This window comes from Homo sapiens, chromosome 19 (genome assembly GCF_000001405.40).
Source record: "Homo sapiens chromosome 19, GRCh38.p14 Primary Assembly".
Lineage (NCBI taxonomy): Eukaryota > Metazoa > Chordata > Mammalia > Primates > Hominidae > Homo > Homo sapiens.
Window position 1 is genome coordinate 48,748,011 of NC_000019.10, and position 20,995 is coordinate 48,769,005.

At 54.6% G+C, this 20,995-nt stretch overlaps 2 protein-coding genes across 4 annotated transcripts, besides 21 other annotated features; one reads left to right on the top strand and one right to left on the bottom strand.

The window, feature by feature from the left end:
* FUT1 (fucosyltransferase 1 (H blood group)) lies at positions 1-7,348 on the bottom strand. Of its 3 annotated transcripts, NM_001329877.1 has the most exons (5): positions 5,638-5,650; positions 5,315-5,553; positions 4,882-5,112; positions 4,480-4,715; positions 1-3,273 (listed from the first exon to the last, which is right to left on the bottom strand). In NM_001329877.1, the coding sequence occupies exon 5, from the start codon at positions 3,269-3,271 to the stop codon at positions 2,174-2,176; it is 1,098 nt and encodes a 365-aa protein (NP_001316806.1). In that variant the 5' UTR covers positions 3,272-3,273; positions 4,480-4,715; positions 4,882-5,112; positions 5,315-5,553; positions 5,638-5,650; the 3' UTR covers positions 1-2,173. The 3 variants fall into 3 exon arrangements, with proteins under 3 accessions (NP_001316806.1, NP_000139.1, NP_001371288.1); NM_000148.4 differs by lacking the exon at positions 5,638-5,650 and adding an exon at positions 7,280-7,348 and having other exon boundaries at positions 4,480-5,112; NM_001384359.1 differs by lacking the exons at positions 4,882-5,112; positions 5,315-5,553; positions 5,638-5,650 and having other exon boundaries at positions 4,480-4,631.
* Positions 2,988-3,627: an enhancer, noted in NCBI's record as "H3K4me1 hESC enhancer chr19:49254255-49254894 (GRCh37/hg19 assembly coordinates)". NCBI's record gives its function as "activates a minimal SCP1, AML or CMV promoter by ChIP-STARR-seq in primed H9 embryonic stem cells {active_cell/tissue: H9 hESC(primed)}" and the evidence as "EXISTENCE:reporter gene assay evidence [ECO:0000049][PMID:30033119]".
* Positions 4,668-4,717: a silencer, noted in NCBI's record as "silent region_10901". NCBI's record gives its function as "represses an Ori minimal core promoter by ATAC-STARR-seq in GM12878 lymphoblastoid cells {active_cell/tissue: GM12878}" and the evidence as "EXISTENCE:reporter gene assay evidence [ECO:0000049][PMID:35858748]".
* Positions 4,833-5,419: an enhancer, noted in NCBI's record as "H3K4me1 hESC enhancer chr19:49256100-49256686 (GRCh37/hg19 assembly coordinates)". NCBI's record gives its function as "activates a minimal SCP1, AML or CMV promoter by ChIP-STARR-seq in naive H9 embryonic stem cells {active_cell/tissue: H9 hESC(naive)}" and the evidence as "EXISTENCE:reporter gene assay evidence [ECO:0000049][PMID:30033119]".
* Positions 6,736-7,601: an enhancer, noted in NCBI's record as "H3K27ac-H3K4me1 hESC enhancer chr19:49258003-49258868 (GRCh37/hg19 assembly coordinates)". NCBI's record gives its function as "activates a minimal SCP1, AML or CMV promoter by ChIP-STARR-seq in primed H9 embryonic stem cells {active_cell/tissue: H9 hESC(primed)}" and the evidence as "EXISTENCE:reporter gene assay evidence [ECO:0000049][PMID:30033119]".
* Positions 6,736-10,656: a biological region, named in NCBI's record as "FGF21/FUT1 promoter region". NCBI's record gives its function as "regulatory_interactions: FGF21 | FUT1".
* Positions 7,117-10,656: a promoter, noted in NCBI's record as "3 kb promoter fragment in the pGL4-FUT1 construct". NCBI's record gives its function as "drives FUT1 transcription by reporter assays with c-Jun cotransfection in HEK293 embryonic kidney cells and SKOV3, OVCAT3 and HO8910 ovarian cancer cells {active_cell/tissue: HEK293(+c-Jun) | SKOV3(+c-Jun) | OVCAT3(+c-Jun) | HO8910(+c-Jun)}" and the evidence as "EXISTENCE:reporter gene assay evidence [ECO:0000049][PMID:25239830]".
* Positions 7,226-8,194: a promoter, noted in NCBI's record as "fragment used in the FGF21(-850/+117) promoter construct". NCBI's record gives its function as "drives FGF21 transcription stimulated by retinoic acid in reporter assays in HepG2 cells {active_cell/tissue: HepG2(+retinoic acid)}" and the evidence as "EXISTENCE:reporter gene assay evidence [ECO:0000049][PMID:23430257]".
* Positions 7,238-7,798: a transcriptional cis regulatory region, noted in NCBI's record as "promoter|chr19:49258505-49259065 region (GRCh37/hg19 assembly coordinates) targeted for CRISPR interference". NCBI's record gives its function as "positively regulates FUT1 gene expression in K562 cells {active_cell/tissue: K562}" and the evidence as "EXISTENCE:mutant phenotype evidence [ECO:0000015][PMID:31784727]".
* Positions 7,352-7,958: a promoter, noted in NCBI's record as "-521 to +86 exon 1 fragment used in the reporter construct". NCBI's record gives its function as "drives FUT1 transcription in reporter assays in K562 cells, with weaker activity in HEL cells {active_cell/tissue: HEL | K562}" and the evidence as "EXISTENCE:reporter gene assay evidence [ECO:0000049][PMID:9760178]".
* Positions 7,390-7,481: a promoter, noted in NCBI's record as "-90 to +1 fragment used in the pGL4.11/-90_+1 reporter construct". NCBI's record gives its function as "drives transcription of FUT1 in transfected DLD-1 cells {active_cell/tissue: DLD-1}" and the evidence as "EXISTENCE:reporter gene assay evidence [ECO:0000049][PMID:23533340]".
* Positions 7,427-8,194: a promoter, noted in NCBI's record as "fragment used in the FGF21(-650/+117) promoter construct". NCBI's record gives its function as "drives FGF21 transcription stimulated by retinoic acid in reporter assays in HepG2 cells {active_cell/tissue: HepG2(+retinoic acid)}" and the evidence as "EXISTENCE:reporter gene assay evidence [ECO:0000049][PMID:23430257]".
* Positions 7,433-7,445: a transcriptional cis regulatory region, noted in NCBI's record as "RARE sequence mutated in the mutRARE construct". NCBI's record gives its function as "mediates induction of the -650/+117 FGF21 promoter by retinoic acid {active_cell/tissue: HepG2(+retinoic acid)}" and the evidence as "EXISTENCE:site-directed mutagenesis evidence [ECO:0005528][PMID:23430257]".
* Positions 7,443-7,482: a protein binding site, noted in NCBI's record as "AARE1 probe that binds both ATF4 and C/EBP-beta". NCBI's record gives its function as "positive regulation of FGF21" and the evidence as "EXISTENCE:protein binding evidence [ECO:0000024][PMID:22233381]".
* Positions 7,443-7,482: a protein binding site, noted in NCBI's record as "AARE1 probe that binds both ATF4 and C/EBP-beta". NCBI's record gives its function as "positive regulation of FGF21" and the evidence as "EXISTENCE:protein binding evidence [ECO:0000024][PMID:22233381]".
* Positions 7,473-7,481: a transcriptional cis regulatory region, noted in NCBI's record as "region of the active -90_+1 promoter fragment that is missing in the inactive -81_+1 promoter fragment". NCBI's record gives its function as "important for activity of the -90 to +1 FUT1 promoter in transfected DLD-1 cells {active_cell/tissue: DLD-1}" and the evidence as "EXISTENCE:reporter gene assay evidence [ECO:0000049][PMID:23533340]".
* Positions 7,514-10,320, top strand: FGF21 (fibroblast growth factor 21). The gene is made up of 4 exons (NM_019113.4): positions 7,514-7,774; positions 7,881-8,461; positions 8,916-9,019; positions 9,920-10,320. Exons 2-4 carry the CDS (start codon positions 8,227-8,229, stop codon positions 10,208-10,210), a joined length of 630 nt encoding a protein of 209 aa, NP_061986.1. The 5' UTR covers positions 7,514-7,774; positions 7,881-8,226; the 3' UTR covers positions 10,211-10,320.
* Positions 7,602-8,465: an enhancer, noted in NCBI's record as "H3K27ac-H3K4me1 hESC enhancer chr19:49258869-49259732 (GRCh37/hg19 assembly coordinates)". NCBI's record gives its function as "activates a minimal SCP1, AML or CMV promoter by ChIP-STARR-seq in primed H9 embryonic stem cells {active_cell/tissue: H9 hESC(primed)}" and the evidence as "EXISTENCE:reporter gene assay evidence [ECO:0000049][PMID:30033119]".
* Positions 7,901-7,939: a protein binding site, noted in NCBI's record as "AARE2 probe that binds both ATF4 and C/EBP-beta". NCBI's record gives its function as "positive regulation of FGF21" and the evidence as "EXISTENCE:protein binding evidence [ECO:0000024][PMID:22233381]".
* Positions 7,901-7,939: a protein binding site, noted in NCBI's record as "AARE2 probe that binds both ATF4 and C/EBP-beta". NCBI's record gives its function as "positive regulation of FGF21" and the evidence as "EXISTENCE:protein binding evidence [ECO:0000024][PMID:22233381]".
* Positions 8,006-8,026: a protein binding site, noted in NCBI's record as "SP1 binding probe". NCBI's record gives the evidence for it as "EXISTENCE:protein binding evidence [ECO:0000024][PMID:23018034]".
* Positions 9,281-9,303: a protein binding site, noted in NCBI's record as "AP-1 binding probe". NCBI's record gives the evidence for it as "EXISTENCE:protein binding evidence [ECO:0000024][PMID:25239830]".
* Positions 9,289-9,295: a transcriptional cis regulatory region, noted in NCBI's record as "region mutated in the pGL4-FUT1-M construct". NCBI's record gives its function as "necessary for c-Jun activation of the 3 kb FUT1 promoter in HEK293 embryonic kidney cells and SKOV3, OVCAT3 and HO8910 ovarian cancer cells {active_cell/tissue: HEK293(+c-Jun) | SKOV3(+c-Jun) | OVCAT3(+c-Jun) | HO8910(+c-Jun)}" and the evidence as "EXISTENCE:site-directed mutagenesis evidence [ECO:0005528][PMID:25239830]".

Below are 20,995 nucleotides of genomic sequence, written 5' to 3' on the forward strand. Positions count from 1 at the left end.
TTAGTGCTGTAGACTTTTAATTCATACCTCCTGCTCTCTCACCCGTGGCAGCTGAGTTGGGAACAGTACTGTAACAATTGTAACTGTAACTCCCTGATAAGCCTACAGGCATGGGGTCTGGATGAGTAGACAGGGGATGTGATCAGAGCTGACTATGTTTAAGGTTTCTTCTTTCACCCTCCAAAAAACAGCAAGGGGCTCCTGAGATCTCGACAACCCCGTCCACCTTGGCCAGACCTCGTGCTCCTGCCTGGATCTGAGGCTGGGTCCAGGGTCTGCCTACCTTTAGATCGTTTTATCTCAGACCTGCCCAAAGCCAGATGTAGTGGTTCTGGGAGTTCAGGGACAGACAGTGGTTAGCAATGAGCACGGTACCTGCCAGTTTGTCACAAGCACAGAGGGTGTGTTTATACCTGCACACTTCCAGAAAACAGATCCCAGACCCTCAGCAGCCCACCTGCAGACAAAGACCAACTTCCTTCATTGTGAGAGGCAACCTGAACTCACACCCAATATATGGAGCTCTTGGCAGTTTATGAGCTTTAAAAAAAAGTGTCCCTGGATCCCTGGAAAGTTCTGCTCCAGAAGCTGTACCATTTTGGCAGTGATCCCTCACCCCACGTTCACATTTTAGCCTGTCTGCTCAAAACAAACAAAAAAAAGTCTTTGAGGGGCTGTGGGGCTTGTTGGACAGAGTCCCGCTCTGCTCACCAACTACCCCAGCTTTTCCAGAGACTGTGAACAGAGCAAGACGCTGGCCAACTAGAGATGGTTTGTTTTCCATCTCAATTTTTCCAGCAATGGTGGAACATTCATTAGATGCTACAATTAGGTTGCACATTCATTAGATTCTTCACTTGGCCCGGTGTGCTGGCTCACATCTATAAACCCAGCATTCTGGGAGGCCAAGGTGGGAGGACTGCTTGAGCCCAGGAGTTGAAGAACAGCCTGGGCAATATCACAAGACCTCGTCTCTACAAAAATTAAAAAAAATTATCCGGGCCAGGCATGGTGGCTCACGCCGGTAATCCCAGCACTGTGGGAGGCCGAGGTGGGCAGATCACGAGGTCAGGAGATCGAGACCATCCTGGTTAACACGATGAAACCCCGTCTCTACTAAAAATACAAAAAAAATTAGCCGGGCGTGGTGGCGGGCGCCTGTAGTCCCAGCTACTCAGGAGGCTGAGGCAGAATGGCATGAACCCGGGAGGCAGAGCTTGCAGTGAGCTGAGATCGCGCCACTGCACTCTGGCCTGGGCTACAGAGCAAGACTCCGTCTCAATAAATAAATAAATAAATAAATAATTAAAAAAAAAATATCCGGGCTGGGCACAGTGGCTCATGCCAGTAATCCCAGCACTTTGGGAGGCCAAGACAGGTGGATGACAAGGTCAGGAGATCGAGACCATCCTGGCCAACATGGTGAAACCCTGTCTCTACTAAAAATACAAAAATTAGCCAGGCATAATGGCCTGTGCCTGTAGTCCCATCTACTCAGGAGGCTGAGACAGGAGAATCGCTTGAACACAGGAGGCGGAAGTTGCAGTGAGCCAAGATCACGCCACTGCACTCCAGCCTGGGCAACAGAGCGAGACCCTGTCTCCAAAAAAAAAAAAAAAAAACTAAAAAGATTCTTCACCTTAGTTATCTGGATTTCCAGAACCCCATCCTGTCCATAAGGGCCCTGCAGGGTTCTTCACAGGCATCAAACCTGGTCCTCTCTAGAACAAGTCTCCCTCTAGAATCACTCCAGAAACACAGAAGGGGACTTGGTGAATGCTTGCTCTGGAGCAATCATATGCTCCTTCAGTCTTTGGAGGACCCAGGGGAGAAGTAACCCCTCTTCTAGAGTAGACCAGAGGGAGAGTTCCCCATTCCTGGGGGCAGCCATCTGGAAGTACTGTAGATATGGGCTGGGAAGAGCAGGTGGGCACTGTGGCTTCTAGAACTGCCTGCCAGCCATCAGGAAAAGATGTTTTGCTAGTTCTAGAATATTCAGACAGTTCCAGAAACGTCCCCCTTCTCTCCAACTCTCCCAACTAGAATCACTCTGGATACGGGCACCCATTTGCTTCAGGAACACCACAAGCTTCTCCAGAAGATGCCAGGCCTCTGAAGCCACGTACTGCTGGCTCTAGAAAGATCAGGCTACTTCAGAAAGTCTCCCTGGCTCTCAAGGCTTAGCCAATGTCCAGAGTGGAGACAAGTCTGCATTAATGCCCACCCACTCGGGCAGGAAGGCCGCCTCCGGCTTAAAGATCTTCAGGAACTCAGAGTCTGGCAGGGTGAAGTTGGCCAGGTAGACAGTGTCTCCGCCAGCCAGGTAGGCAGCCCAGAAGCCGAAGGTGCCAATGGTCATAATGGTGTGGTTGCACTGTGTGAGCAGGGCAAAGTCTTTCCACGGTGTAGCCTCCTGTCCATCGCCAGCAAACGTCACATCGCCCTGGGAGGTGTCGATGTTTTCTTTACACCACTCCATGCCGTTGCTGGTGACCACGAAAACGGGGGCTTCGTGCCGTGCCCGGAACCAGTCCATGGCCTGCCGGAGGTAGGCGCTGTCGCCCACCACACCCTTCCAGCGCTGAGGCATAACCTGCAGATAGTCCCCACGGCGCACGTGGACGCCGACAAAGGTGCGCGGGCGGTCCCCTGTGCGGCCCAGGCGGAGCTGACCCAGCACACTCTGCGCCTCTTCCCGAAGGTGGTCGTGCAGGGTGAACTCTCTGCGGATCTGTTCCCGGAGATGGTGGAAGAAAGTCCAAGAGCAGGGGAAGCCAGAGAGCTTCAGGAAAGGATCTCTCAAGTCCGCGTACTCCTCCGACATCCAGTCGTGAAGCTGCAGCTCCCGCCACGGCGTGCGGCTGTCCACTTCTGGGGCCAGCACGGGCAGGGTGATGCGGAATACCGGGGCCAGGGCGGCATGCATGGCAGGCAGGATAAAGGCCCGGCGGCCGTTGAGCTGGGCCAGAGCCAGCAGCGTGGCATACTGTCCCATCTGATTACCAAACCGGCCATTGGGGTAGACAGTCCAGGTGCCGGAGAGGGAAGCAGGGTGCTGGGGACAGGAAGAGGAGGCGTTGGGGCCCATCGCAGTACCCGGCAGGCAGAAGATGGCCACTGGGGGTGTCACCAGGCGGCGGTCTGGACACAGGATCGACAGGCCTAGGCCATGTGGAAAGCTGTCTTGATGGATATGGAGGAAGAAGATTACAGAGAGGACACAGACTAGCAGGAAGGCCAGGCAGAGCTGACGATGGCTCCGGAGCCACATGGCTGCAGGGGAGGAAAGGCGAATTAGCAAATGCTCTGAGGCTGAGGAGGGGAGGCTGAGGAGGGATGTGGGGTAAGGGAGGCGCCTGGGGTGCAGCACTCCTTAGTCCCAGGGAAAGAGGAAGTTAAAGGTTTAGACTCCTGGGGCTGAGGTAGGGAGAGCCTGAGTCCTAGGTTTCAGGGATGAGAGCCTTGGAATTTCGGGGCATGGGGACTGGAAGACAAGTGGTTTTCAAGATAGCCATGGTTTGGCTGGGCACTGTGGCTCACACCTGTAATCCCAGCATATTGGGAGGCTGAGATGGGAGGATCCCTTGAGCCCAGGAGTTCAAGATCAGCCTGGGCAACAGAGCACTCTTACAAAAAAATTTTAAAATTAGCTTGGCATGGGCCAGGCGCGGTGGCTCACACCTGTAACCCCAGCACTTTGGGAGGCCAAGGTGGGTGGATCACCTGAGGTTGGGAGTTCGAGACCAGCCTGACCAACGTGGAGAAACCCTGTCTCTACTTAAAATACAAAATTAGCCGGGCATGGTGGCGCATGCCTGTAATCCCAGCCACTCGGGAGGCTGAGGCAGGAGAATCGCCTGAACCCGGGGGGCGGGAGTTGCGGTGAGCTGAGATCATGCCATTACACTCCAGCCTGGGCAACAAGAGTGAAACTCCGTCTCCAAAAAAAAATAAATAAAATTAGCTTGGCATGGTGGCACATGTCTGTGGTCTCAGCTACACCGGATGCTAAGGCGGGAGGATCCCCGGAGCTCACAATGAGCCGCGATAGCACCGCTGACTGCACTCCAGCTTGCGCGACAGAGAGGGACCCTGTCTTAAAAAAAAAAAAAAAAAAAAAAAAAGAAAGTGGTCCAGGTTCCTACACCTTTCCTGAAGGAATCTCGAGTCTCCCCTCCTGTAAGTTCCGCTGATACTGGACTCTTCCACCAGCCTGTTTCTCAGGAGTACCTGTCTGTGAGGCGCAAAATCCACCACAGAGGTGGTGATGGGAAACGATAGTTCAAGTAAAACAAGAGAGGCTGGAGGGTCAGGAGCGGAAGGAGCATCTTGGTTCCTGGAGGAGTAATGGCTGGGGAGGTGGCGGAGATTCCTAGGGCCTTAGGAAGACCTGGAGAAGAGGTTGGGGGTGCACCTCCTGGTTCTGAAGGAGTTGTTCCTGGGTCCCAGGAACAACTGAGTGGGGCAGTCCCCACTTACCCGAGCTGCTTGCAGGTGGCAGATCCACAGTCCGCTTTTCGTGGCCGGAGCGCACCCTCCGCAAAGGCAGGCCACATCCGGCCGCCCCTGGAACGCCAGGCGTCCGGCTATCCGGCCCGGCAGCCCTCCCCTCCGCGCAGCCTGTCCGGACTGGCAGCGAGGGCTTGGGGAGGAGAGGAAGGAGAGGGCGCGGCCGGGAGTCTCGCAGCGTCCGCCCTCCCGGGCCGGGCGGATGGCTGGAAGGTGGAGCCCCGCCCGTCACTTGGCGCCGAGCCCCAGCGCCAGGGGCTAAGGCGATGGCCCCTGGGCCCACCGCTCCCCAGATCGGGGATGCAGGGGACCGCGCCCTGCCCCTCCGCCCCGTCATTGACCTGCGCGAAGGCTTCACCCAGGGCAGGCTACCTGGCTTCTGAGCAGCCGCAGCATCATTGCGTGGACCAGGAGACGGAGCGCCCAGTTGCAATGCTGGAGCCGGGAGGTCCAATCCGCCGCCCTCTCTCTTCCGGTGCCAGGGCTTAGAGTCGGCCCCCGACACCTGGGTGCTTCGAGCCTGGCCACGCCCCAGCGGCTGGGCAGGGCCCCCGCACCTGGTCCCGGCGAGTGGAGCGATCGTCCGCCCTCTGCCGCGTCCTCCTGGGGGATGGAGAACCTGTTTGCCAGGCTGCCGCCGGAGCGCGCGAGGGCCTCCAGCCTGCAGGTGCTCCCGCGCCCACCAGGGTCTCCGATCTCCCACACCCCCCGCCTCACCGTCCACACTCAAATTCCAGAATCCCAGCCCCTAGTCACTCCTTTTGGGGAATTCTAGGGTCCCGTGCCAAACTGCTACTTTCCAGACCTGCACTGCACGAAGGCAACCATTCCAAGGCTGGAGACCGGAGTGGAACAGGGTCTGTTTCCCACGCCGTCAGCGGGGGCCGTGGCTGCCGGCGCCAGAGACAAAGGCCTCTGCCCGCTTGTCACCTAATTAAAGCATTTTCTCTGGTCCAAGGCCCACCTCCAGCATCGCCAACCCCGAGCAGGGCAGGCTAACGTAGGGTCCAGCCCTACGGGGCTTTGCGGGTGGGTGTTCTTCCCCTGTGAGGAGAGGAGAGATTGTAAGAAATAAAGACACAAGACAAAGAGATAAAGAGAAAACAGCTGGGCCCGGGGGACCACTACCATCAAGACGCAGAGACCGGTAGTGGCCCCGAATGGCTGGGCGCGCTGATATTTATTGTATACAAGACAAGGGGGGGCAGGATAAGGAGGGTGAGTCGTCCAAATGACTGATAAGGTCAAGCAAGTCACGTGATCATGGGACAGGGGGCCCTTCCCTTTTAGGCAGCCGAAGCAGAAAGAGAAGGCAGCATATGTCAGCGTTTTCTTCTCTGCACTTATAAGAAAGATCAAAGACTTTAAGACTTTCACTATTTCGGGCGGGCGCGGTGGCTCACGCCTGTAATCCCAGCACTTTGGGAGGCTGAGGCGGGCGGATCACAAGGTCAGGAGGTGGAGGCCATCCTGGCTAACACGGTGAAACCCTGTCTCTACTAAAAATACAAAAAATTATCCGGGCGCGTGGTGGAGGGCGCCTGTAGTCCTAGCTATTTGGGAGGGTGAGGCAGGAGAATGGTGTGAACCCAGGAGGCGGAGATTGCAGTGAGCCGAGATCACGCCACTGCACTCCAGCCTGGGGGACAGAGCGAGACTCCGCCTCAAAAAAAAAAAAAAAAAGGCTTTCACTATTTCTTCTACCGCTATCTACTACGAACTTCAAAGAGGAACCAGGAGTACGGGAGGAAAATGCAAGAGGACAAGGAGCGTGACCATTGAAGCACAGCACAGCAGGATGACTGCGGGCAGGCCTAGATAATACCCAGCCTCCCACAAGAAGCTGGTGGAGCAGAGTGTTCCCTGACTCCTCCAAGAAAAGGAGATTCCCTTTCGTGGTCTGCTGAGTAACGGGTGCCTTCCCAGACACTGGCGTTCCCGCTTGACCAAGGAGCCCTCAAGAGGCCCTTATGCCGGTGTGACAGAAGGCTCACCTCTTGCCTTCTAGGTCACTTCTCACAATGTCCCTTCAGTACCTGACCCTATACCCACCGGTTGTTTCCTGGTTATATTAGTTATACAACAAAGAATAAAAGTAATAGCTAATGATTAATAATGTTTACACTAATGATTGATACTGTCCATGATCATCTCTATATCTAATTTGTATGATAACTATTCTTATTCTAACTATTTTCTTTATTATACTGAAACAGTTTGTGCCTTCAGTCTCTTGCCTCGGCACCTGGGTAATCCTTCCCCACAGACTGACCCTCCCATTCAAGATACATCAATGTCAAAGACTCAGGAGTTTGACTTGATTCCCAGAAGTTTAACCATCATCTCCCCAGGCTCGGGACTCCCAGCACCCAGACCCTTCTGCTCACACCCAGCAGTCCAGGCCCCCAGACCCTCCTCCCTCAGACTTAGGAGTCCAGGCTCCCGGCCCCTCCTTCCTCAGACCCAGGAGTCCAAGCCCCCTGCCCCTCCTTCCTCAGACCCAGGAGTCCAGGACCCCAGCCCCTCCTTCCTCACACCCACGAGTCCAGATCCCTAGCCCCTACTCCCTCAGACCCAGGAGTCCAGACCAAAGCTCCCTCCTCCCTCAGACCCAGGAGCCCAAGTTCCCCAGCCCCTCCTCCCTCAGATCCAGGAGTACAGGCCCAGACCCTCCTCCCTCAGACCCAGGAGTCCAGGCCCCCCACCCCTCCTCCCTCAGACCCAGGAGTCCAGAGCCCCAGCCCTCCTCCCTCAGACACAGAAGGCCTACCCTTGCACCCTTAGGGGCTCCAGGAAATTAGCCAACCTGTCTTCCCTCTGGGTGCCCACTCCAGGGCCTGGCTTGGCTGCCAACTCCAGTCAGGGACTTTCAGCCACCCCTCCCCCCAGGTTATTTCAGGAGCACCTGCCTGGGCCTGGGATGGCTTCTCTGGTGAAAGAAACACCAGGATTGCATCAGGGAGGAGGAGGCTGGGATGTCCAGGGTCTGAGCATCTGAGCAGGGACAGATGAGGTTGAGGTTGGCCCACGGCCAGGTGAGAGGCTTCCAAGGCAGGATACTTGTGTCTCAGATGCGGTCGCTTCTTTCATACAGCAATTGCCGCCTTGCTGAGGATCAAGGAACCTCAGTGTCAGATCACGCCCTCCCCCCAAACTTAGAAATTCAGATGGGGCGCAGAAATTTCTCTTGTTCTGCGTGATCTGCATAGATGGTCCAAGAGGTGGTTTTTCCAGGAGCCCAGCACCCCTCCTCCCTCCGACTCAGGTGCTTGAGACCCCAGATCCTTCTCTCTGAGACTCAGGAATGTGGGCCCCCAGCCCCTTTCACCTGGGTCCCAGCTAACCCGATCCTCCCCTCCCTCATCCCCTAGACCCAGGAGTCTGGCCCTCCATTGAAAGGACCCCAGGTTACATCATCCATTCAGGCTGCCCTTGCCACGATGGAATTCTGTAGCTCCTGCCAAATGGGTCAAATATCATGGTTCAGGCGCAGGGAGGGTGATTGGGCGGGCCTGTCTGGGTATAAATTCTGGAGCTTCTGCATCTATCCCAAAAAACAAGGGTGTTCTGTCAGCTGAGGATCCAGCCGAAAGAGGAGCCAGGCACTCAGGCCACCTGAGTCTACTCACCTGGACAACTGGAATCTGGCACCAATTCTAAACCACTCAGCTTCTCCGAGCTCACACCCCGGAGATCACCTGAGGACCCGAGCCATTGATGGACTCGGACGAGACCGGGTTCGAGCACTCAGGACTGTGGGTTTCTGTGCTGGCTGGTCTTCTGCTGGGAGCCTGCCAGGCACACCCCATCCCTGACTCCAGTCCTCTCCTGCAATTCGGGGGCCAAGTCCGGCAGCGGTACCTCTACACAGATGATGCCCAGCAGACAGAAGCCCACCTGGAGATCAGGGAGGATGGGACGGTGGGGGGCGCTGCTGACCAGAGCCCCGAAAGTGAGTGTGGGCCAGAGCCTGGGTCTGAGGGAGGAGGGGCTGTGGGTCTGGATTCCTGGGTCTGAGGGAGGAGGGGCTGGGGGCCTTGGCCCCTGGGTCTGAGGGAGGAGGGGCTGGGGATCTGGACTCCTGGGTCTGAGGGAGGAGGGGCTGGGGATCTGGGCCCCTGGGTCTGAGGGAGGAGGGGCTGGGTCTGGACCCCTGGGTCTGAGGGAGGAGGGGCTGGGGGTCTGGACTCTTGGGTTTGAAGGAGGAAGGGCTGGGGTCCTGGACTCTTGGGTCTGAGTTGGGAGGGGGCTTTGGCTTGGGCTTCTCCTGGGTCTGAGGGAGGAGGTAGGCTGTGGGCTTGGACTCCCAGGGCTGGGACAGAGCCGGATGGTGGGACAGAGTCGGGTGGTGGGACAGTCCCGGGTGGGAGAGGTCCTCGAACCACCTTATCGCTTTCACCCCTTAGGTCTCCTGCAGCTGAAAGCCTTGAAGCCGGGAGTTATTCAAATCTTGGGAGTCAAGACATCCAGGTTCCTGTGCCAGCGGCCAGATGGGGCCCTGTATGGATCGGTGAGTTTCCAGGACCCTCCTCACCACCCACCATGCTCCTCCTATATGTCGCCCTCACAGCCTGGGGTGCCTTGTCTTGCTCATCCCCCCCGGAGCCAGACTTGATTCTATTTGCTCTGCACGCCCCCAGCTGCAACATTTGGAGGTTGAAGTTGTCATCAGTGTTTGCAAGATGAGGAAACTGAGGCCCAGGCCGGGGCGCCAGTGACCTCAATCATGTGATGTGTGGATGCTGGAGCGGCCTGAGGCTCAGGTTATTGGGAGTCTCGTGATTCAGTAACCCCTGCTCCTGCCCACACGGCCCCTGTGTGCACGGCTCATGCTGGGCACAGGGACACTCGGGGAAGCCATGGCCAGTAAAGTGACCAGGACCTTGAGTGCTAGGGAGACACCCCGCCTGGCCTGAGAGAGCACTGATGGCTCCGAGGGCTGGAATGTTCTCTGTGAAGTCTGAACTGGGAGGCAGGTCCCTGCAGGAGAGCCCTGGGGTAAAAAACAAAACCTGCCTTGCTGTTTTGTTTCCTAGAGGAGGGGCTGGGGGCCTGGACTCCTGGGTCTGAGGGAGGAGGGGCTGGGGGCCTGGACCCCTGGGTCTGAGGGAGGAGGGGCTGGGGCCTGGAACCCCGGGTCTGAGGGAGGAGAGGCTGGGGCCTGGAACCCCGGGTCTGAGGGAGGAGAGGCTGGGGCCTGGAACCCCGGGTCTGAGGGAGGAGGCGCTGGGGGCCTGGACTCCTGGGTCGGATGGAGGAGAAACTAGGGTCTGGACCCCTGGGTCTGAGGGAGGAGGCGCTGGGGGCCTGGACCCCTGGGTCTGAGGGAGGCAGGGCTGGGGCCTGGATCCTGGGTCTTACATCAGGAAAACAGAGGAACCCTGTCTCTGATCCTGTTTTTGTCCCCTAGCTCCACTTTGACCCTGAGGCCTGCAGCTTCCGGGAGCTGCTTCTTGAGGACGGATACAATGTTTACCAGTCCGAAGCCCACGGCCTCCCGCTGCACCTGCCAGGGAACAAGTCCCCACACCGGGACCCTGCACCCCGAGGACCAGCTCGCTTCCTGCCACTACCAGGCCTGCCCCCCGCACTCCCGGAGCCACCCGGAATCCTGGCCCCCCAGCCCCCCGATGTGGGCTCCTCGGACCCTCTGAGCATGGTGGGACCTTCCCAGGGCCGAAGCCCCAGCTACGCTTCCTGAAGCCAGAGGCTGTTTACTATGACATCTCCTCTTTATTTATTAGGTTATTTATCTTATTTATTTTTTTATTTTTCTTACTTGAGATAATAAAGAGTTCCAGAGGAGGATAAGAATGAGCATGTGTGAGTGTCTGAGGGAAGACATGGCAGCTGTTTTGTCTCCCTTGGCCCGGACAATCCCCTCTACACCTCCCCTCACGTGGTCCGAGGGTCCTGGCTTCCCACTGGGCCTCACTTTTTTCTTTTCTTTTCTTTTTTTTTTTTTGAGACGGAGTCTCGCTCTGTCACCCAGGCTGGAGTGCAGTGGCGCGATCTTGGCTCACTCCAACCTCCGCCTCCCAGGTTCAAGCAATTCTCCTGCCTCAGCCACCCGAGTAGCTGTGATTACAGGCGTGCGCCACCACACCCAGCTAATTTTGTAATTTTAGTAGAGACAGGGTTTCGCCATGTTGGCCAGGATGCTCTCCATCTCTTGACTTCATGACCTGCCTGCCTTGGCCTCCCAAAGTGCTGGGATTACAGGCTTGAGTCACTGTGCCCAGCCCAGCCTCACTTTTCTACTCTGCTAAAGTGTCCCCAGGGACTGTGGACTATCCCTGCTCTCTGAAAGGACAAGACTGGCCGGGAGTGGTGGCTTACGCCTGTAATCCCAGCACTTTGGGAGGCCGAGGCAGGTGGATCACGAGGTCAGGAGATTGAGACTATCCTGGCTAATACGATGAAACCCCGTCTCTACTAAAAATACAAAAACAAAATTAGCTGGGCGTGGTGGCGGGCGCCTGTAGTCCCAGCTACTCCGGAGGCTGAGGCAGAATGGCGTGAATGCGGGAGGCGGAGCTTGCAGTGAGCCGAGATCGCGCCACTGCACTCCAGCCCAGGCCACAGAGCGAGATTCCATCTCAAAAAAATAAATAAATAAATAAATAAATAAATAAATATAAAAATAAAATGAAAGAGCAGGACTTCTTTCTACAACCCCTCAACTTGTGTGAGCGTTGTGTAACTATTTCATAGAGCTACCTCGATAACAGGGGAGCTTTTACGAGGTGACACAGCACACTCACATCCTCATGGGAGATGTAGTTTTCTGGCATCATTTAGCAGCAGGAATGAGATCTGTTGGGCCTCAAATCTGGGACAAGGACTCCTGGGTCCTGGAGTAGGTTTGGGGCTAGTGTAACACCCAAGTTCTGGGGAATCAGTGGGCTGGACATCTGGACACCTGGATCACAGGAGAACTGGGGACTGCAGACTTAGGCATCCTGGTCTGAGAAAAAAGGGGCTGGAGGGTGGGAGTTTGGGTTCTCAGGAAAAGGAGCTGAAACCTGGAATTCTTCCATCTGGGTCCTTATGAACTTTTTAATATTTATTTATTTATTTATCTTATTTTGTTTTTTTTCTGAGATGGAGTCTCGCTCTGTCACCAGGCCCAAGTGCAGTGGCACAATCTCGGCTCCCTGCAACCTCCGTCTCCTGGGTTCAAGCGATTCTCCTGCCTTAGCCTCCCGAGTAGCTGGGACTACAGACAAGCGCCACCACACCCGTTTGTTTGTTTGATTGCTTGTTTGTTTGTTTTGAGACAGAGTTTCCCTCTTGTTGCCAAGGCTGGAGTGCAATGGCACAATCTCGGCTCACCACAATCTCCGCCTCCCGGCTTCAAGTGATTCTCCTGCCTCAGCCTCCCGAGTAGCTGGGATTATGGGCATGCGCCACCATGCCCAGATAATTTTGTATTTTTAGTAGAGATGGGGTTTCTCCATGTTGGTCAGGCTGGTCTCGAACTCCCCACCTCAGGTGATCCGCCCGCCTCAGCCTCCCAAAGTGCTGGGGTTATAGGCGTGAGCCACCACGCCTGGCTGCTTGTTTTTTGAGACAGAGTCTCGCTCTGTTGCCCAGGCTGGAGTGCAGTGGCACAATCTTGGTTCACTGCCACCTCTGTCTCCTGGGCTTAAGCGATTCTCAGCTCTGGAGTAGCTAGGATTACAGGCACCACCACTATGGCCAGCTAATTTTTGTGTTTTTAGTAGAGACGGGGTTTCACCATGTTGGTCAGGCTGGTCTCAAATTCTTGACCTCAAGTGATCTGCCCACCTTGGCCTCTCAAAGTGCTGGGATTACAGGCGTGAGATACTGCACCCGGCGTTTACTTTTATTTATTTGTTTGTTTGTTTGTTTATTTTTGAGACAGAGTCTCTCTCTGCCACCCAGGCTGGAGTGCAGTGGTGCAATCTCAGCTCACTGCAACCTCCACCTCCTGTATTCAAGCGATTCTCCTGTCTCAGCCTCCCAAGTAGCTGGGATTACAGGTGTGTGCCAACCCTCCCGGCTTGGACTTCAGCTGGGACTCCTTCCATGGGGGTCCTTATGTAATGAGCGTCATAGATTCCAGTCCCGGCAAGCAAGTTGCCCGGTCTCGCTCCCCTCACGCAACCGAGATTTCCATATTGTTCTTCAAGCCACTTCCTGGTAGGAAGGAAGCTGGCCTGGGCCAGCCCCAGTTGCTGCAGCCGGGTGGGAGTTGTCATCCTGGACCCTTCATTTTAAGTCCAAAGTTCAAGTGAGAGAAATATCACAGTCAAAAGGACCTAACTGTGGGTGGCCGAGGGTCACTGGAGGGACTTGATGCCCAGAAAAAATGAAAGTCACCATTTGTAGAAAGGGTAGTTTTCAACTCTGATCACACAAGCCTGGCTCAGTCAAGGGAAGGAAATAGAATTTGAAATTTCACAAAGCTCCCGAGCAGTGGTTTAGGTCCTGGGGGTGACTCAGGTGACACGTAAGTTCCTTGTCAGAAGAGACCGCATACTGCTGTCAAGGAAAGGCGAGGTGGCCAGTGTGGAAAGAGGAGGGAGCACTGGGCACCATCCTGACCCGGTTCCCACCCGCCCGCCATGCCAGGCTGGAGACCAGGAGACACAGACCCAGAGGGAAGGTCAGAGCCCAACATCCAGAGAGAAGGGGGGACAGGGACCTGATGGGGGGGTCAGAGACCCAGAGATAGGGAGACAGAGACCCAGAGAGAGAGGGAGAGTCCCAGAGAGAGGGAGACAGAGACCCAGAGAGAGAGGGCAACAGAGACCCAGAGAGAGAGGGGGACAGAGACCCAGAGAGAGAGGGAGACAGAGACCCAGAGAGAGAGGGGGACAGAGACCCAGAGAGAGAGGGGGACAGAGACCCAGAGAGAGAGGGGGACAGAGACCCAGAGAGGGGGACAGAGACCCAGGGAAAAAGGAAGACAGAGACTCAGAGAGAGAAGGGGACAGAGACCCAGAGAGAGAGGGAGAGTCCCAGAGAGAGGGAGACAGAGACCCAGAGAGAAAGGGGGACAAAGACCCAGAGAGAGAGGGGGACAGAGACCCAGAGAGAGAGGGGAACAGAGACCCAGGGAAAAAGGAAGACAGAGACTCAGAGAGAGAAGGGGACAGAGACCCAGAGAGAGAGGGGGACAGAGACCCAGAGAGAGAGGGGGACAGAGACCCAGGGAAAAAGGAAGACAGAGACTCAGAGAGAGTAGGGGACAGAGACCCAGAGAGAGAGGGAGAGTCCCAGAGAGAGGGAGACAGAGACACAGAGAGAAAGGGGGACAAAGACCCAGAGAGAGGGGGGGACAGAGACCCAGAGAGAGAGGGGGACAGAGACCCAGAGAGAGAGGGGGATAGAGACCCAGAGAGAGAGGGGGACAGAGACCCAGAGAGAGGGGGGGCAGAGACCCAGGGAAAAAGGAAGACAGAGACTCAGAGAGAGGGACAGAGACCCAGAGGAAGGGGGGGGACAGAGACCCAGAGAGAGAGGGGGACAGAGACCCAGAGAGAGAGGGGGACAGAGACCCAGAGAGAGAGGGGGACAGAGACCCAGAGAGAGAGGGGAACAGAGACCCACAGAGAGGGGGGACAGAGACCCAGAGAGAGGAGGACAGAGACCCAGAGAGAGAGGGGAACAGAGACCCACAGAGAGGGGGAACAGAGACCCAGAGAGAGGAGGACAGAGACCCAGAGAGAGAGGGGGACAGAGACCCACAGAGAGGGGGACAGAGACACAGAGAGAGAGGGACAGAGACCCAGAGAGAGAGGGGGACATAGGCCCAGAGAGAGGGGGGACAGAGGCCCAGAGAGAGGGGGACAGAGACCCGGGGGATGACAGAGGCCCAGAGAGAGAGGGGGACAGAGACCCAGAGAGAGAGGGGGACAGAGGCCCAGAGAGAGGGAGACAGAGACCCGGGGAGTGGGGGACAGAGACCCAGAGAGAGAGGGGAACAGAGGCCCAGAGAGAGGGGGACAGAGACCCAGAGAGAGGACAGAGACCTAGAGGGAGGAGAAGACCCAGGGAAAAGGGAGACAGAGACCCAGAGAGAGAGGAACAGAGATCCACAGACAGAGGGGGACAGAGACCCAGAGAGAGGAAAGGCAGGCAGGGAAGCTGAGAAATGTGTTCAAATGGGGACACTTCACTGTACCTGAGGACCTTGAACTCCCAACCCTGTTGTACCCACTTCCTGTAGAAGGAGCCGCTTTCCTCATCTGGACAGTCTGGGGTCCCCTGTCTGCAAAGCCTGTCCTAGGTTGCTGTCTCGCAGGGAACCACGGATCCTCCGCAGGGTCAAGCCCCCCAGCTCTGGATGCTTCCAGACCTGCGTCCAGACTCAGCTCCCGGCAGGTTGTACAGGATGAGCTGCAGGGTGTGGGCGGTGAGGGCTGCCATATGCACCCGGAGAACTGCAAGACCTTGCTCACTGATATTGACAGAACCCACACTGAGAAGCCGGTCTGGGACGGGATCACTGGGGAATGATGGGGCATGATGGAAGCAATTGAATGTTGAATTGGGATGAATTTATTGACAGAGATTCCACACTCAAGCATTGGCTATAGGGGCTGGGAGTGACTCTAGTTCGCTCTTTGGTTGAGTGAAATCTGCATCCCAAATCCTTTGCAAACGTTGGCCAGGTGCAGCGGCTCACGCTTGTAATCCCAGCACTTTGGGAGGCTGAGGCAGGAGGATAACTTAAGGCCAGGAATTTGAGACCAGCCTGGGCAACATAACGAGACACCATCTCTACAAAAATTAAAATTTCGGGCCAGGCACGGTGGTTCAAGCCTGTAATCCCAGCACTTTGTAAGGCCAGGGTGGGCGGATCACAAGGTCAGGAGATGGAGACCATCCTGGTCAACATGGTGAAACCCCGTCTCTACTAAAAATACAAAAATTAGCTGGGTGTGGTCGCGTGTGCCTGTAATCCCAGCTACTTGGGAGGCTGAGGCATGAGAATCGCTTGAACCCAGGAGGCAAAGGTTGCAGTCAGCCGAGATCGTGCCACTGCACTCCAGCCTGGCGACACAGCGAGACTCCGTCTATTTAAAAAAAAAAAAGAAAGAAATTCAACTACCCTGGAGCCTGAGGTGTGAGGATCACCTGAGCCTGGAAGATTGATGGTGGCTGTGCCACAGCACTACAGCCTGCACGACACAGTGAGATCTGTCTCTAAAAAATAAAAAATTAGACCAGGCATGGTGGCTTACACCTGTAATCCCAGCACTTTGGGAGGCTGAGTGGGGAGGATTGTTCGAGACCAGGAGTTTGAGACCAGCCTGGGTAACATAGCGAGATTCCCGTCTCTACAAAAAATAGAAAAATTAGCCAGGTGTAATCCCAGCTACTCGTGGGGCTCAGGTGGGAGGCTCACTTGAGCCCAGGAGGTCAAGGCTGCATGAGGTATTACGGCTCCACTGCACCCCAGAACAAGCAGGCTACAGAGCAAGACTCCACCTAAAAAAAATTTTTTTTTCCTCTGTTGTGTCTATTTCCTCTCATGCTCTTTCTAATAGAGCCTTCACTTATGATTTTTTTTTCTTTTTTTTTTTTGAGATGGAGTCTCACTCTGTCGCCCAGGCTGGAGTGCAGTGGCATGATTTCGGCTCACTGCAACCGCCGCCTCCCAGGATCAAGCAATTCTCCTGCCTCAGCCTCCCAGGTAGCTGGGACTACAGGCGCGCACCACCACACCTGGCTAATTTTTGTATTTTTAGTAGTGACGGGGTTTTGCTTATTGACCAGGTTGTTCTTCAACTCCTGGCCTCAGGTGATCCGTCCACCTCAGCCTCCCAAAGTGCTGGGATTACAAGCGTGAGCCACTGTGCTTGGCCCTGGCTAGTTTAACTTTTACTTTTGTACAGACAGGGTCTCACTATGTTGGCCAGGCTGGTCTTGAACTCCTGGGCTCAAGCCATCCTCCCACCTCGGCCTCCCACAGTGCTGGGATTATAGGTGTGAGCTACTGCGCCTGACTCTTTGTCTTAATTTCCCTCTTCCTATAAGGACGCCAGTCACATAGGATTTAGCACACACCCCAACCCAGTATGAGCTCACCTGAACTTGATTCCATCTACAAAGACCCTATTTCCCAGGAAGATCACATTCAGAGGTTCCAGGTAGACCTGAAGCTTCCAGGACACTATTTTCCCTCAGTGCACAGCTCTACATAAATTTGGTCACACTCTTCTTCTTCTTCTTCTTCTTTGCAGACAGAGTTTCACTCTTGTTGCCCAGGCTGGGGTGCAATGACACAATTTCGGTTCACCGCAACCTCCGCTGCCCAGGTTCAAGCGATTCTCCTGCCTCAGCCTCCGGAGTGGCTGGGATTACAGGCATGCACCACCAAGCCTGGCTAATTTTGTATTTTTAGTAGAGATGGGGTTTCACCATGTTGGTCAGGCTGGTCTCGAACTCCCGACCTCAGGAGATCCGCCCGCCTCGGCCTCTCAAAGTTTTGGGATTACAGGTGTGAACCACCACGGCCAGCCTCACACTCCTCTTCTTTTCCTCACATTTAAGTGAGCTGTACCCTTAGGAGAAAGTTGCACAGTTAGCACTAGGGTGGGCCAGGATAGCTTTCTGAGCCTTAAAAATCTTAAAGTTTGGCTGAGACCAGCCTGACGAACATGGAGAAACCCCGTCTCTACTAAAAATACAAAAGTAGCTTGGTGTGGTGGTGCATGCCTATAATCCCAGCTACTCGGGAGGCTGGGGCAGTAGAATCGCTTGAACCTGGGAGGCAGAGGTTGTGGTGAGCCAAGATTGCGCCACTGCACTCCAGCCTGGGCAACAAGAGGTAAACTCCATCTCACAAAATTAAAAAAAAATTTCTTTTAAGTTTGGCCAGGCACGGTGGCTCACGCCTGTAATCCCAGCAGTTTGGGAGGCTGAGGCAGGTGAATCCCCTGAGGTTAGGAGTTCAAGACCAATCTGGCCCACATGGTGAAACCTGCCTCTACTAAAATTAAAAAAATTAGCTGGGTGCAGTGGTGTGCACCTGAGGTCCCAGCTACTCGGGAGGTTGAGGCACAGGAATCTCTTGAACCCAGGAGGCAGAGGCTGTAGGCAGCTGAGATCGTGCCACTGCATTCCAACCTGGGCGACAGAGCAAGACTCTGTCTAAAAAAAAAAAAGAAAAGAAAAAGAAAACTCTCTGGGCATGGTGGTGGGCACCTGAGGTCCCAGCTACTCAGGAGGCTGAGGAAGGAGAATCGCTTGAACCCAGGAGGCGGAGGTTGCAGTGAGCCAAGATCATGCCACTGCACTTCAGCCTGGGCGACAGAGCGAGCCCGTCTCTCTCTCTGTCTATATATATATATACACACACACACAATAAATAAATAGGTTGGCTCTTTGCTGTTTCCCCACAGTACTGTATTCAATATATAACCACTCAGCACAGCCACCTCTCCAATGTTCAGGAGCAAACTCTTATCTCCTTGGTTCTTGCCCCCACCATTATCAGAACCTTCCCTCTGTTTTACTCTCTGAGCGCCTGCCAAGATCAGTTTGGGTTTTGTTTCTCTATTAGTTTTCACCCGTGTGGAGCTTCGTCCTTCCAAGAGGGAGGTTCTACTGAGTGAGCACTTCCCAGATCCCTGGGGAGCCAGGCTATTTAGCATCTTTCAGCTTCTCCACCGCACCCTATCCTCACCTACTCACTGGAGCCCCTAGAGATTTGACTACTGTTCTTGTTTTCTTTTCTTTTTTTGGGGGGGTGGGGGAGGGGGACAGGGTCACTGTCGCCCAGGCTGGAGTGCAGTGGCATGATTTTGGCTCACTGCAACCTCTGCCTCCCAGGTTCAAGCAATTCTCCTGCCTCAGCCTCCTAAGTAGCTGGGATTACAGGTGCCCCCACCTCGTTAATTTTGGGGGGTTTTTGTTTTGCTTTTTTTTGAGAGAGAATCTCGCTCTGTTGCCCGGGCTGGAGTGCAGTGGGCTCACTGGAACCTCTGCCTCCCGGGTTCAAGAGATTCTCATGCTTCAGCCTCCCAAGTAGCTGGGACTTCAGGTTTGCGCCACCATGCCCAGCTAATTTTTGCATTTTTAGTAGAGACAGGGTTTCGCCATGTTGGCCAGGCTGCTCTCCAACTCCTGACCTCAAGTGAACTGCCTGCCTTGGCCTCCCAAAGTGCTGGGATTACAAGCGTGAGCCACTGCACCTGGCCCTGGCTAGTTCTTTTAACTTTTACTTTGGTACAGACAGGGTCATGTTGGCCAGGCTGGTCTTGAACTCCTGGGCTCAAGCAATCCTCCCACCTCGGCCTCTCAAAGTGCTGGGGTTATAGGTGTGAGCTACCACGCTTGGCTCTTTGTCTTAATTTCCCTCTTCCTATAAGGACACCAATCATATAGGACTTAGCGCACACCCCAACCCGGTATAACCTCACCTGAACTTGATTTCATCTACAAAGGCCGTATTTCCAAGTAAGGACACATTCAGCGGTACCAGGTAGACATGAAGCTTCCAGGACGCTATTTCCCCAATGCACACCTCTACACGGAGTTAGTCACACTCCTCTTCTTCTTCTTTTTTTTTTTTTTTTTAAGACAGTTTCTCTCTTGTTGCCCAGGCTGGAGTGCAATGGCATGATTTCGGCTCACTGCAACCTCTGCCTCTCGGGTTCAAGCAATTCTCCTGCCTCAGCCTCCCAAGTAGCTGGGATTACAGGCATGTGCCACCACATCTGGCTAATTTTGTATTTTTAGTAGAGACAGGGTTTCTCCATGTTGGTCAGGCTGGTCTCGAACTCCTGACCTCAGGTGATACGCCTGCCTTGGCCTCCCACAGTGCTGGGATTACAGGCGTAAGCCACCGCACCTGGCCTCACACTCCTCTTCTTTTTCTCTCATTTAAGTGAGCCGTACCCTTAGGAGGAAGTTGCACAGTTGACATTAGGGTGGGCCAGGATAGCTTTCTGAGCCTTAAAAATCTTAAAAGTTTTGCCGGTCACAGTGGCTCACGCCTGTAATCCCAGCACTTTGGGAGGCCAAGGTGAGCGAATCCCCTGAGGTCAGGAGTTCCAGACCAGTCTGCCCAACAAGGTGAAACCCTGTCTCTACTAAAATTACAAACATTAGCTGGGCGTGGTGGTGCACACCTGCGGTCCCAGTTACTTGGGAGGTTGAGGCACAGGAATCTCTTATTTATTTTTTATTTTTTATTTTTTTTGAGATGGAGTCTCGCTCTGTCGCCCAGGCTGGAGTGCAGTGGAGCGATCTCGGCTCACTGCAAGCTCCACTTCCCGCGTTCACGCCATTCTTCTGCCTCAGCCTCCCGGGTAGCTGGGACTACAGTCACCCACCACCACGCCCAGCTAATTTTGTTTTTGTATTTTTAGTAGAGACGGGGTTTCATCATGTTAGCCAGGATGGTCTCGTTCTCCTGACTTCATGATCCGCCTGCCTCGGCCTCCCAAAGTGCTGAGGCACAGGAATCTCTTGAACCCAGGAGGCAGAGGCTGCAGTGAGCTGAGATCACGCCACTGCACTCCAACCTGGGCAACAGAGCAAGACTCCATCTCAAAACAAAACAAAAAAACTATCTGGGCATGGTGGTGGGCACCTGTAATCCCAGCTACTCGGGAGGCTGAGGCAGGAGAATCGCTTGAACCCAGGAGGCGGAGGTTGCAGTGAGCCAAGATCACACCACTGCACTCCAGCCTGGGTGACAGAGCGAGCCCCTGTCTCAAAAAATTAAATATATAAATAACAAATAAATAAATAGGCTGACTCTTTGCTGTTTCCCCACAGTATTGTATGCAATATATAACCACTCAGCACAGCCACCTCTCCAACGTTCAGGAGCAAACTCTATCTCCTTGGTTCTTGCCCCCACCATTATCAGAACCTTCCCTCTGCTTTACTCTCTGAGCGCCTGCCAAGATCAGTTTGGGTTTTGTTTCTCTATTAGTTTTCACCAGTGTGGAGCTTCGTCCTTCCAAGAGGGAGGTTCTACTGAGTGAGCACTTCCCAGATCCCTGGGGAGCCAGGCTATTTAGCATCTTTCAGCTTCTCCACCACACCCTATCCTCACCTACTCACTGGAGCCCCTAGAGATTTGACTACTGTTCTTGTTTTCTTTTCTTTTTTTTTCGGAGGGGTGGAGGGGGACAGGGTCACTGTCGCCCAGGCTGGAGTGCAGTGGCACAATCTCAGCTCTCTGCAACCTCTGCCTCCCAGGTTCAAGCAATTCTCCTGCCTCAGCCTCCTAAGTGGCTCAGATTACAGGTGCCTCCACCTGGCTAATTTTTTGGAGGTTTTTTGTTTTTGTTTTTGTTTTTTTTGTTTTTTTTTTTTGTTTTTTTTTGAGAGAAAGAATCTCGCTCTGTTGCCCGGGCTGGAGTGCAGTGGGCTCACTGGAACCTCCGCCTCCCGGGTTCAAGAGATTCTCGTGCTTCAGCCTCCCAAGTAGCTGGGACTTCAGGTTTGCGCTACCATGCCCGGCTAATTTTTGTATTTTTAGTAGAGACAGGGT

Coding starts and splice junctions, on each gene's coding strand:
- FUT1 (NM_000148.4), bottom strand. CDS start 3,271: ATGTGGCTCCGGAGCCATCGTCAGCTCTGCCTGGCCTTCCTGCTAGTC.
- FGF21 (NM_019113.4), top strand. CDS start 8,227: ATGGACTCGGACGAGACCGGGTTCGAGCACTCAGGACTGTGGGTTTCT. Junction 8,462..8,915: donor TGCTGACCAGAGCCCCGAAA/GTGAGTGTGGGC, acceptor TTCACCCCTTAG/GTCTCCTGCAGCTGAAAGCC. Junction 9,020..9,919: donor ATGGGGCCCTGTATGGATCG/GTGAGTTTCCAG, acceptor TTTGTCCCCTAG/CTCCACTTTGACCCTGAGGC.